General features: G+C 38.1%; 1 protein-coding gene across 20 annotated transcripts in view, besides 1 other annotated feature; it reads left to right on the top strand.

Moving 5' to 3' along the window:
- Positions 1-13,218, top strand: part of PLCH1 (phospholipase C eta 1) — a 294,138-nt gene that overhangs the window by 242,319 nt on the left and 38,601 nt on the right. For all 20 annotated transcript variants that reach the window (XM_017005927.2, XM_047447747.1, XM_047447746.1 and 17 more), the window contains 6 exons: positions 1,959-2,050; positions 5,336-5,433; positions 8,236-8,415; positions 8,505-8,612; positions 9,900-10,024; positions 11,885-11,969. In XM_017005927.2, the coding sequence (XP_016861416.1) occupies positions 1,959-2,050; positions 5,336-5,433; positions 8,236-8,415; positions 8,505-8,612; positions 9,900-10,024; positions 11,885-11,969 (688 nt within the window). The remainder of the gene's footprint in view (positions 1-1,958; positions 2,051-5,335; positions 5,434-8,235; positions 8,416-8,504; positions 8,613-9,899; positions 10,025-11,884; positions 11,970-13,218) is intronic.
- Positions 7,072-7,181: a silencer, noted in NCBI's record as "silent region_14832". NCBI's record gives its function as "represses an Ori minimal core promoter by ATAC-STARR-seq in GM12878 lymphoblastoid cells {active_cell/tissue: GM12878}" and the evidence as "EXISTENCE:reporter gene assay evidence [ECO:0000049][PMID:35858748]".

Below are 13,218 nucleotides of genomic sequence, written 5' to 3'. Positions count from 1 at the left end.
CTCGACCTGTGAAACATTAAATGAAAAAGTAAGATGAGAAGTAGATTCTATGGTATGATAACCATGAAAAGATGTGTCAAAACTGTATGTCCAGAAAATATATCATTCTCTGAATGTTATCTGTCATTGGTGATTCATTTCTTATTTCTAATTTTTGCATTTTATAGTAAAAATGATTCTTAAAAAGACATTTATTACTGTATAACTCAAATTACTAACTATGTGGAATTAGAGAATATTTCATTTCTGGATTGCAACTTGTCATTACAATTAAAATAGTCTTTCAAAGTAGATGTTTTAGGGAGTACTTCACCTAACTAAAATTTATCATACCTCAAGTTATAAGAATAAATTGTTGTCCATTAGACTATTTATAGATTATTTTAATAAATATTGACAGTATTTTAAATGGAAAGGTAATGTTATATAGATTACAGAATGACTTTCTGTGCCATTTATTTAACCATCACAACAATAATCCTTTGAAATAGATGTTCTTGCCACACTCTTTCTAAAGATCCAATAGGAAGCTAGTGAGGTTAGCCAGTTTACCAGCCTGGTGAAAGACGGAACATGAGATCATCAAATGGTAGGGCTTCCATACCTGCAAGCTGAGGTACTCAAGGCATAAATAATGCCGGAGAAGTTTCCAAACCAAACTGGCATCTTACTGTCACTGAAATAGAGAGAAGTTGAGTGTGTTTATGCCAACAGTGTAGCTTGTTTGATTTTTGGGGGGGTTTAGGAGAAGCATGAGAAAATCTAGAAGGTGGCATGGTCCTATGGTAATTTGGGGATGGAGACCCTTTCCCTTTCTAAGCCACATTCCTGATGTCCAGGGTTCTCTGTCTAAACATCTTACCTTTGTTTGTAGACACTGCATTTTCGATGGCAAGGTTTTCGGCAATTATTGGGGTGGTCCTTCCCCATCATTTGTATTGTTTATTTATTTATTTAGAGATGGAGTTTTGCTCTTGTTGTCCAGGCTGGAGTACAATGGTGGGATCTCGGCTCGCTGCAACCTCCACCTCCTGGGTTCAAGCGATTCTTCTGCCTCCACCTCCCAAGTAGCTGGGATTATAGGCACCTGCCACCACGCCCAGCTAATTTTTGTATTTTTAGTAGAGATGAGGTTTCACCATTTTTTGGCCAGGCTGGTCTTGAACTTGTGACCTCAGGTGATCCACCCACCTCAGCCCCCCAAAGTGCTGGGATTACAGGCGCGAGCCACCACGCCCGGCCCATCATTTGTATTGTTGAGGTCTGTGTTGCCTAAATACTGGGACTATCTCCAAATTGGTGGGGATGAAATCATACCATCCCAAAAAAGTTTTATTGTGAAACAGCTGATCTGTCCAAAAGACACCAGATTAGACCTGGAGCCTTTCAGCCTGTATTCTGTGGGTAGCAATTTTTTTTCCTGCTGCTAGAAATGAAAATGGGTCAAAATCTCAAAAGGGAAATTTGATTTAGATGATCATTTGAGTGCATACTGATCAAAAGCAGAAATGGTAGTTATTTATTTTTTTAAAAGTTACTACATGTCCTTTCTTAAAAAACCAAATGTGCCTTTTACAGTTTATTAATAGTGAGCTTCCTATACAAAAGGGCATTTTGTCCCTTATAATCATTTACATAGATACTGCAACTTTGACTCTACCCCTAGTAGAAACCTTCAAAATGCATGACTAATAAAGTCTTTCTGATACATCAACTTTATGTGTCTCCGAAGTCAGTTTCTGAGCATGAAACTCTCAGTTTTGTATTAATATTTTAATATAATTATGGCCTTAGATAGGCTTGTTATTAATGCTGAAGCAAGCTGCAATATTTGGTCATTTTCTCCCTCCAAGTTATGTTTGTGCACATGTGCATTTTAAAGCCCAGCTCATTCTCTGCATGTTGTAAATATACTTGATACAATGAGTTTGTTAAGTTTGTTTTGATTTTTCTGGCAGAAAACTACAAAATCACGGTCTAAATCTTACAGTACTGATGATGAGGAAGACACACAGCAGAGTACTGGCAAGGAGGGTGGCCAGCTGTACAGGTAAGAAAGCATCTCCATGTTTCCTACTCACACTCCTGAGGCCCCTCCATCCTTGTCAGCTTAGTCATTTTTCTTGTACATGTCTAGAGAATTGGATCACAAGGAAAGTATTCTGTGCTGTCGAACATGTGAAGAACAGCTGGATATGAAATGATAATTTATGTAGGGAACTCAGCTCTGTGCCTGGCACATAATGAGCTCTTTATAAATGTTAGCTGCAGCAGTTGTCAAGTAAAAGGTATCTTCAGAGAAGAGGGAGGGAGCACATGAACTAATACAAAGACCGTCACAAGAGACTAAAGAAGATGGATGCTAAGCCCATGTTAGGAGCCAGGAATCTGAAATCAGCCAGATTTCAAATTCTTGTTCCTCCAGTTACCAACTTTAACATGCGACAAGTTTGGCTCCTCATTGTATCTGTCTCTTAGAGTCATTGTAAGGATTAAAGGAATTAAACTAATTAGCCCTGTAAGCCCTGGCCTGATTAAATAAGTATTCAAAAAAAGTTCTTTTTTGTTTGTTTGTTTGCTTTATTGCCAGTAGTATTTATGATAAGTAACATGACCATATTTTCAGAATCCAAATCGTGACACATGATTCATTACAGGAGTTCCTGGCAGTTTATTTATACCATAACTTTCACAAAGAAATATAAATTATATATATTAGATAGATATGGATACATATACACACTTTTGCCTTTATTGAAAAATGAAATTATTTGAAATTAGAAGCATAGAAGCCCTGTAGGAATAAAACTTTAGTGTTCAATTAAACTTTATATTTGAGCTCCAACAGAATATGTATACATAAAATAGTAACTAATTAGAAGGGCAGAGGAGATGTGTGTGGTCCCTACTCTAGGGAACAGAAAATTGAATATATAGTTACAGTAAAGGATAAAGAGAAAATAATAGGATCACCTGCTGGGAGACTTCTGCTGTGACTGTTGTCATATGTAAGTTTGAGAAAGGCTTAACTCTGACACATATAGCCAGGGAAAAGGCAGTGTTTGAGGAAAGCTACAATAATCTTAATGTGTGCAAAGGAGACATCAATACAGTTATCACATGAAATCATTTTGCATGCTGCTTAGTGTCAACTATAGATTTTCCCATAATAGATATCAGGGCCTGAGCATCTATGATGATGTCCTTTTGGGACTTTAGTAACCTAATGCACCTCTAGGATGAGGAATAAAAAGAGTTAATTTTCTGTAGAATTTCTCCATATCACGGAATGTCTTAGAGTTTTACTTATAATTTCTAGGCATGACTTCACACCGATTTATAATCATTAGCCTTCACAAAATCAGATTTTCACCAGTGGCTATAGAATTTCCTAATTATATGGTAAAGAAGGAACATGCGTTCTTTTTTCTATTGATTTTTACCACAGTAAAGTTCTCAGCAGACCATCACATTCCCCTCACTTACCCACTTTTCTCCTATAGGGGAACATCTAACTATCGAAAAGAAACCTCACAAAAAGAAGATATACAAATGGCCAATAAACACATGAAAATGTGCTCAACATTGTTGGACATTAGGGAGATATAAATCAAAACTACAATGGAATACCTCTTCACACCCACTATGATACTTATAACCGAAAAGGCAGACAATAACACATGTTATTTCTGTTGCCTAGAGTACGGACCACATACATCTCCTCTGCCCTTCCTAATTAGTTACTATTTTATGTATAGATATTCTGTTGGAGCTTAAGTATAAAGTTTAATTGAACACTAAAGTTTAGGTTTGTTTTTGGTAGTTGTTTCCCATAAGAAAAAGTGTGTGTGTGAGGGGAATGTGATGGTCTGTGGAGGACTTGACTGCAGAAGAGAGTGGTGGTACAATTTGTAAGGTTGCAGAGGAGATCCTATGAGTGGTTTGTAGGAGAGAGAAAACTATTAAAATATCTAAGATAAAAACAGCACTAGATAAAGTAATGAATGTTTGTTTTAAGAAAGCTAGAGAATATAGAAAAAGTATAAAGAAGAAAGTAAACATCCTTTGTAATTACATCTCTCCAATAATCACTATGGAAATTTGGCATATTTCCCTTTAGGTGTATAATTCTTGTGGCCCGCTACCCACTATGCAGTGTTTCTGTTCCATTTTAGCCCTGGTCTCCTCCCTGCAAAGGCCATGTAGTTCCCTGATGAACTCTGGTGTTACTCCCTAACTGGGTCACAGTGGGAATCCAGCCTTCCACAGCAGAACTCACAAATGCATGAGAAGAGGCTGTGATTCCTGGCAGAGCAGTGAATAAAACCACATTACAATAGTCCCCACGTCATCATGAGAAATGACTGCAGTGGATGCCTGAAACCACAGATGGTAGTGAACCCTATATATATGTTGTTTTTCTCTTTCCTTATTAAGTCAAACATTTTCACCTTTTCACTTCAAGGAAGTGCTTTGCAGCATCTCTTTGGCATATCTGAATTGCCAGCATTACTACTCCCGCACTTTAGGGCCATTATTAAGTAAAATAAGAGTTACTTGAACATAAGCACTGCAAAACCTCCACTCCACAGTCAGTCACATAAGAAGATGTCTACCAGATGACACATACATCATGGATATGCTGGACAAAGGGATGACTCATGTCCAGAGTGGGACGGAGCAGGACCTCACAAGATTTCATCATGCTACTAAGAATGGCATACAATTTAAAACTCATGGCCAGGTGCTGTGGCTTGCGTCTGTAATCCTAGCATTTTGGGAGGCCAATGCAGGTGGATCACTTGAGGTCAGGAGTTTGAGACCAGCCTGGCCAACATGGTGAAACCCTTTCACTGCTAAAATTACAAAAAATTAGCTGGCGTGGTGGTGTGCACCTGTAGTCCCAGCTACTCGGGAGGCTGAGGCAGGAGAATCACTTGAACCTGGGAGGCAGAGGTTGCAGTGAACCAAGAATGCGCCACTGCACTGCAGCTTGGGCAACAGAGAGAGACTCTGTCTCAAAAAAAGAAAAAAAATCTCATGAATTGTTTATTTCTGAAATTTCCACTTAATATTTTTAGACCATGGTTAACTATGGGCAAATGAAACTCTGGAAAGGGAAAGTGAGGATAAGGGGGGACTACTGTAGTAGGATTTTGTGGTGGAAAGAGCACTGAACTAGGAAGCACACTTGGGTGCCAATCCTGGCTCCCTTAGGACCTGGGGCAGGTATTCCCTATTAAATCATTGTCTTAAATAAGGAAAGTGGGATAACCAAGAACCCAAACCTCTTTCAACTCCAAAATGTCATGCATCCTCTGTGGGTACTTCACAGATTGGGTCGCCGAAGGAAAACCATGAAGCTCTGCCGAGAACTCTCTGATTTGGTTGTGTACACAAACTCCGTGGCCGCTCAGGACATTGTGGATGACGGTAAGGATGGAGAGTTTTCTCATTCTGCTCTGAATAAACATTCTTGACCTTTCTTTTTCAATTGTTAATGAATTTTTGTTAATCCCATTATCAACACACATTTTTGGGACTATGTAGAAACCAATTTGAGTGTCAGGAAACTCACTGCTGCTATAGTGTTGAGTTCACATGGAGGGTTCTACTGATTACTGTGGTTGCCTGATTGACCAGAGGCCAGAGAAAGTTCCCACAGGGCCAAAGAGGACTTTATTACTATACAAAGACAAGTGCCTCAGGGCAAGATCTTCCTGCAACACTTGAACTGTGAAGTCCAGGCCCGGCTTGAGGACCAGGTCACAGATGGCCATTCCAAATGCGAATGACCAAAAGAAGAAATTAATTGGCTAAAATCACACCTTGAAAAGCCCTATATTTTCTCAATGAAAGTTTTGACTTGGGTGAAAATAGCTTAATCCAGATTGAAGTTTTAACAAAAAGAGCAGAAATCTCAGTAGCATTCTCTCCGTCACTGTTTTTTACCTATCAGTTGCCACACGGAGCTGAGAAATTCTAGTCACATCTATTCATATCCTTGGCTTTCCTGCTAGTTACTCTTGTCTCCTTTATCTTCTATTTCATTTAGTTACTGAATGCTTACAGAAAAAAAACCTACTGTCATGTGGCTTTTCATCTAATTTTAATTTTAGTGGAACCGAAATGTAAATCAGGACCTCCAAATTTCTCAACAAGTTTTAGTGAAGGGAAAACAACATTGTGTCCTCACAAACCTCCAGGATTCTTCCCTCCCATCTCCCCCTGCCCAGCCCCCACTCCACAAATGTATCTTTTTCTATTTGCAGAAAGATTTCTTCCCTTTGGCCTTGATTCCTTCTTCAAATGGTAACAATTATACAAGATTTAAATGAATTTCACATGTGAGAGCATGAGAACCTGTAGGATTCTCAGCAACTGAGCAACACACTCTTACAACAATTGCCCTTAGCTCAAAAATAAACTCAGGGAATGATTGCATTAAGTTAAAGGTATATTTGGTTTAGGGAATAAAAATTTCCAATAAATGGCTTGGAAAACATAATCCTATTAACTTAATGGAAATTAATCTTGAGTACTATTTAGCTCTGGAACTTCAGCTGTTTTTGTCTTTTTAATTTTTTTGCCAGCCACAAAATGAAAACTAGATAATGAATGCATGGCTTATCCTAATGTGATACAACTCAACTCTATTAATATACTAATTGATATGTGCCTAATTAGCAAGGTCGTATCAATGATATTGTGATGTGCATATTTATGTAGAGAGACAGACAAAACAGTAGTAGTGATTATAGTCCTATTCTATCTGAATTAGGCTTGTCAAAAAGATATTTTCTCCTATAATGTTTAAAACATCCCTCATCAAAATCTGCAATTAAGTTCAATATTAGTATGCTTGAGATATGTAAACTGTGTTAATAGGTTATGCCAATAAAAAATATATGAACATGTATCTTTAAGGAAAGGGTCTAAACTAGAAACATCATCACATTAAAAACTGTAATCCTCTCATTTCTTTGCCACAGTTTGTATTCCTGACTCTTCTAACTCGGGAGTATCATTGTCAGTTGGGCAGCATCTAACATCTAAGGGTGTACAACCCTGAGGACCACAGGGGCCCTGGGAAACTGTGTGTTAATAAACATGCAGAGTCTAGATATGACTCAGGCCCAGCTGGCAAAGCGAGACCATATACAGTTCAACTCTTTGGTTTCATGGACCACATCTCTCTGTCTGGGCTCAGACACACTCAGCTTATTAGGGCTGAATAAGAATGAGATTCTGGGTAACTTTGGGTCTTTTTATCTGGGCTGGTCTTTTCCAGCATGTTCAAATGACATATGGGCGGCCATTTTGGGGATAGGGTATGGGTTCTTGGTGAAGGAGTGGAAATAGCGGGGGCTTTGTAGATATGGTACAAAAGGTGGGATTGGAGACAAGAGTGGAATATTAAATGTTTGGAGCTTTACTCCATTATGACCCCCAAATTTGCAGCTTCTGTGAGTCTAGATTGACCCCTCCTGATGATTGTGCTGGCAGAAACTTTAGTACAGGCTTCATGTACTTTTACCTTCCTTTACTTTGTTCCATAGTTTATATGCGTGGCTAGGTGAATGTCTGTCTTTGTTCTTAAAACTTTTATTCCTTTATAATGCTTTTGACCTCTTTTTCTCCATTATTATTCCTTTCTCCCAAATAGGTTTTGACTTGTTCCATAGTTCTATTCAAAGCAACTTTAAAACTCAACTTTTTATTTTTATAATTGTTCATTTTCCTTTATTTTCTTGGATCCTGGATGTTACTAGTAATACATGTTTTACTTGTGTGCCTTTTAGATGAGTGCCTTCAATGAATGTCTTCCTGTTATCAGGAAGAAGCTATCTAGTTTTATTTATCCATGGTTGTCTATATATTTGGCAAATATATTCTGTTTAAGTTATTTTTTCTACCTGTTCTTTTCATGCTAGCCAGATAGGCATAAATTAGCGGTATGATTGAATTCTTAGGGAGAACAGGGGACCCAGAAATAGACAGCTACTTGAGCAAGACACACAGCTCTGATTTGGCCTCAAAATGGCAAAAGAACCCTATGAATGGAATGTTATGGGTCTTTTCTGTTGAGGAGCTGCCTCTACTCTGGTTGAATCCACTCTCTAGTGCTCTGCTTTTTGCTATTGGTATAATCTGACATTATTATAAAGTCTTCTGTGCGTGGTGTTTTCTTTGCTGTAGTTCTCACTTCCTTTTTTCTCGATTAAAAACTGCCAGGAACCACAGGAAATGTGTTATCATTCAGTGAAACAAGAGCACATCAGGTTGTTCAGCAAAAATCAGAGCAGTTCATGATTTATAATCAAAAGCAACTCACGAGGATTTACCCCTCTGCCTACCGCATTGATTCCAGTAACTTCAACCCTCTCCCCTACTGGAACGCAGGCTGCCAGCTAGGTGTGTATTCCTTGGGAAGGAGTGGTTCTCTGTATATTCTCACTATGCCACCATCTTGCCTAATTCTCTCCCACTTTCAACTTGCACAGTGGCACTGAATTATCAATCTGAAGGACGAATGATGCAGTTAAACCGAGCCAAATTCAAGGCAAATGGCAATTGTGGCTATGTCCTCAAACCCCAGCAAATGTGCAAAGGTGTGTATTAATTTCATAGTCATAAATGCAGGTGTGTGTTAATTTCATAGTCTAAATGCAGGCAACCTTTATTAAGGAAGCTGTTTAGAAAGTGTGATACCCCAGAGTTTTTCAACTTTTTTTTTTCAAAAAGATAGGTTAAGGTGTTTGAATGTGAATTAGAATTCTTGTCACCACTACTTAATATTTGGTTAGCCGTGATGTTTAGAATGTTATCTTGAGAGGTCGTGTGTGAAAGAGGGACATGGATAGCATTGGGTTATCACTTGAAATCCAGTGCCCCATATAAGCTGGACTGCTTTTTAAGGTCTGAGCCCAATCTTTCAGAAACTATCTTAAGTAATGTGAGTCTGTGACCTGCTGGGAAGCTTCAATTCCACCTGAAACAATTTTATCAAGCCCTTTTACTCAGTGTAGTCCAATTACAAAACAGTGCTAACAAAAGAGAAAGGATAGGCTGGGCATGGGGGCTGACGCCTGTAATTCCAGCACTTTGTGAGGTCAAGGTGGGCGGATCACCTGAGGTCAGGAGTTTGAGACCAGCCTGGCCAACATGGTAAAACGCCGTCTCTACTGAAAATCAGAATTAGCTGGGCATAGTGGTGCGTGCCTGTAGTCCCAGCTACTTGGGAAGTTGAGGTAGGAGAATCGCTGGAACCCAGGAGGCAGAGGTTGCAGTGAGCCAAGATCACACCACTGCACTCCAGCCTGGGTGACAGAGTGAGACTCCATCTCAAAAGAAACAAAACAAAGCAAAAAAAGGATAATGTGTTAGATCAAACAACACTTTCTTTTGGTTCTGCTCATTAAAATTATTTTTAAAATTTCCAAATTACATATATAACAATTCAGATAAAAAAGTTGTTGACAGGATTATCTTCAAGATTTTACACTTTGCACATTTTCTTGCTCTGCTGTTTACTTAATTTCAAGTCTTCTTTCTGTTTGTTATATTCACTCATGCCTGAGATAGTTTAGGTTAGAAAATTATTTGAATCTGACATAATTGTTCTTCTTTTTACACTGTTGGTGTTCAAATAAAATGCTTCTCTTCCTTCATTCCACAGTTGATCATTGCATTGCAAACACTTGCTTTAAGTTGGCCCACTCCACTGGCCTTTGGCAACATGGTTTCTAATGAAAACCACAGCTATGCCACACTGATAGTTATGTGATCATGTAATTCAGCATTTGTTTTTGTTTGTTTGTTTCTTTGTTTACAAGCTTAAGCTGTGCATGCGTGTGTGTTTCTTCTTATGTTACCAACTTATACTTTACTTGGCCTAGGTACTTTCAACCCTTTCTCTGGTGACCCTCTTCCTGCCAACCCCAAAAAGCAGCTCATCCTGAAAGTTATCAGTGGACAGCAACTCCCCAAACCTCCAGACTCCATGTTTGGAGATCGAGGCGAGGTAAGTTGCCTATGACTACGTGTCTAAGTGGTTAATTATGTGATTATCTTAGTGCATTTACATTTTATCCGAAATGTCTTCAGAGATGTATGTGTGTTCATAACTGAGCACTGACCTCAGCTTATCAGACATTAACTGATTTATTGGTAAGTCACACAGTTCTTGCTGTACTGCTGTCCATCATCTATTTTGAAGGCATAAGAGCACACAATTGAATTCACAATTTAAGGTTGACACTAGCATTGCTAAAATTGGAGTGCAAAGACAATTATATTATTAACAGAACAACACCTAAGAGTATATCTTAACCTAGAAAGGCAATGTTCCGTTAATAATATAACCTCACATTCCTGTCCTCCTGCAATGCTCCTCCCTGCTGCACATCAGCCACCTGCTCCTTGGCCATGTGCTGATTCTTATTATCATCTGCTGTACCTGTGTCGCGTGATTTTAAAATGTCTTCATCTGCGGCCACAGTCTTTTTTCTTTCCAGAGCTCTTAGCCCATTGTTTCCATTATACCTTCTTGGCTTCTGTTTTCTCGCTATATAGCAGCTTCTCCTATGCTCATGCCCTTCCTCTCAGAGCTGATCCATTACTTCAGGTTCTTTGTCACTCCCGCCTATTAAACCATCATTTTTGGATCTTAAGGAAGGAAATCACAGAGCTCTACAATTTGGTACCGCCATAAATGCTTTAAGAAGTCTACTTTCTCTGCTTTAGACTTTCTTAGGTCAGCTCTTTCTAGATTCTTTGGGTTTTATTCCTTCATTGTTCGTCGCCCAGAACTGGTACCAGAAAGGAGAGTCTACAGATGACCAACAATACAAGATATTTCCCCCTAGAGGAGAGGATGGGAATTAAAGTATAAGAATCAAACATGCATAGCTTGATTAATTATTATGCCACCCAGATCAAGGCAGAGTATATCCAGAATCCCTAGAAGGCTCCTGTCCACCTTCCCAGTCAATATCTACCCTCCCCACTGCCTCTCATAGCAAACACCAACCCCTATCACAGCAGACAAATTTTGTCTATTCCTAAACTTTATATAAATGGACTCTTAGAGTAGGTACTCTTTTATGTCTGGCTTGCTCAACGTTATGTTATATAGGAGAACTTTATTCTTTTCTCATTGTTGAGAGTATTCATTGAACACATACTTCTGACCAGGCACGGTGGCTCACATTTATAATCCCAGCACTTTGAGAGGCTGAGGTGGGCAGATTGCCTGAGCTCAGGAGTTTGAGACCAGCCTGGACAACATGGCAAAACCCCATCTCTACAAAAATTACCAAAATTAGCCAGGTGTGGTGCACAATCCTATAGTCCCAGCTACTCGGGAGGCTGAGGTGGGAGGATGGCTTAAACCTGGGAGGTGGAGGCTGCCATGAGCTAAGATCATGCCACTGCACTCCGACCTGAGCTACAGAGTAAGACCCTATCTCAAAAAACAAAATAACAAAAAACAAAAAACGTATATTCCACAATTATCCATCCTACTCATGATAGAAATTTAGGTTGTTTCCAGTGTTTGACTATTATAGATACAGCTGCTCTCAGCATTTGTGCATGGGCAAAACATCTCAGTTCTGTTTGGTATTTGCCCTGAACTAAAGTTGTAGGTTCAGTGGGTAAAGTTGTTGGCGTTAATAAATACTAGCAAACAGTAATTTAATATTTTTTATACTTGTCTCATATATCTGAATCCACCACACCTAGTACCATTTCTTTTTCTTACTAAGCACCTTGTAAAATCAGTTGCTGTCGAAATGTAGACATTTTGGCCAATATTCTCAGATTAATTAACATATGTATAGAAATATGTTATTTGTAATAGTACTTTCTCTTTACTTAATAGATCATTGACCCTTTTGTTGAAGTTGAAATTATTGGATTGCCAGTAGATTGTTGTAAAGATCAAACCCGTGTGGTAGATGACAATGGTAAGATGGTAATCTGTGTTCACTTTTTAATGAAGATGGTCTAGAAATAGAATTTACACTAAAAAAAGTGTCTATGTAGAAGAGCAAGAAATCTCTAAAATCCGTAACTCCCATCTGAGTTTATGTTAAAAGCTTTTCAACACATAAAACTAAGTAACTGTGGAATTGATGCGTGGCTTATTTTTATGGTATTGTAATCTAGGCTCTCTAGACTTTTGCTTTTAAAGGAAATTTTTTTTCTAGTAAAAAGAGTAAATGATATTTTAAAGAATTGGGTTAAAAATTCACTGAGGAAATGCCTCCATTATATGTTTATATTGTATTTTTATGACATGCGTTTTCTCAAAGCTCTCATTTGTGAAGCCTATGTGTCTTGATAATTTCTCACTTTTTCTGGAGCATGTAAAACTCTAAAGGCAAGCACAATATAGTCTGGCGAGTTTACTTCTTGAATATTTACATACGATTGGAGGGGCAGCATTCTTCTTATATTTTCGCCATAATATAAAGAAATTTTTCTTTACCCAAGCCTCATGTCTTTTTATTTGTAATCTTTTAAAATTTGTTTGTTCATACATTTCACAAACATTATTGTATACCTATTTTTCCTCAATCTCTTGTGATTAATACTGTAAAATACATTTGAAGCACAATCATTAATTTGAGAAATTAAGGGTTCACAAGGAGTCCCTGAAGGAACACTACAGTTTCAGAGTAGGGCAAACCTATAACTTAGGAAAAACATGTACACAGAAAGAAACCTTCTCAAATTGCATTTTCCCACCGATGTTCAATAGATTCTTCTTTCTTTTTTTAGTCTCAGAAATAATTGAGAGGTCATCACTAAGTCAACAAAAAGATCTTCTCTGATTCAAGAGAGGTATCTCAGTGATTTTTCAGCTCATAATTATTTCATTAGCTCGAGGCTTTTTGATAGGGTTAAGTGGTTGATACCTCCGAAATGCATACATTTTTAAACACTTATTTTCATTTTTAGAAAGGAAGAAAAACAGAAACTTATGGAGTACTTGAATTTTTAACAACTTTTATAGTTATTTTATTGGAGAGAATTTTACCAAGTAAATGTATTTTTGCATTTTAGTATTTGAGGTGAATTATATACCTTATTAACTTATTTTTCAGTAGCTGTGAAAATATGCCATCATTCATGCAGTAAGGTCTTGCTTCGTGAGAAGCTACTGGGAATCAATAGTGCATGGTCTAATTTGACCCTGTCACTAACTATAAG

This window comes from Homo sapiens, chromosome 3 (genome assembly GCF_000001405.40).
Source record: "Homo sapiens chromosome 3, GRCh38.p14 Primary Assembly".
NCBI lineage: Eukaryota > Metazoa > Chordata > Mammalia > Primates > Hominidae > Homo > Homo sapiens.
This window is presented reverse-complemented; position numbering and strand designations above follow the sequence as displayed.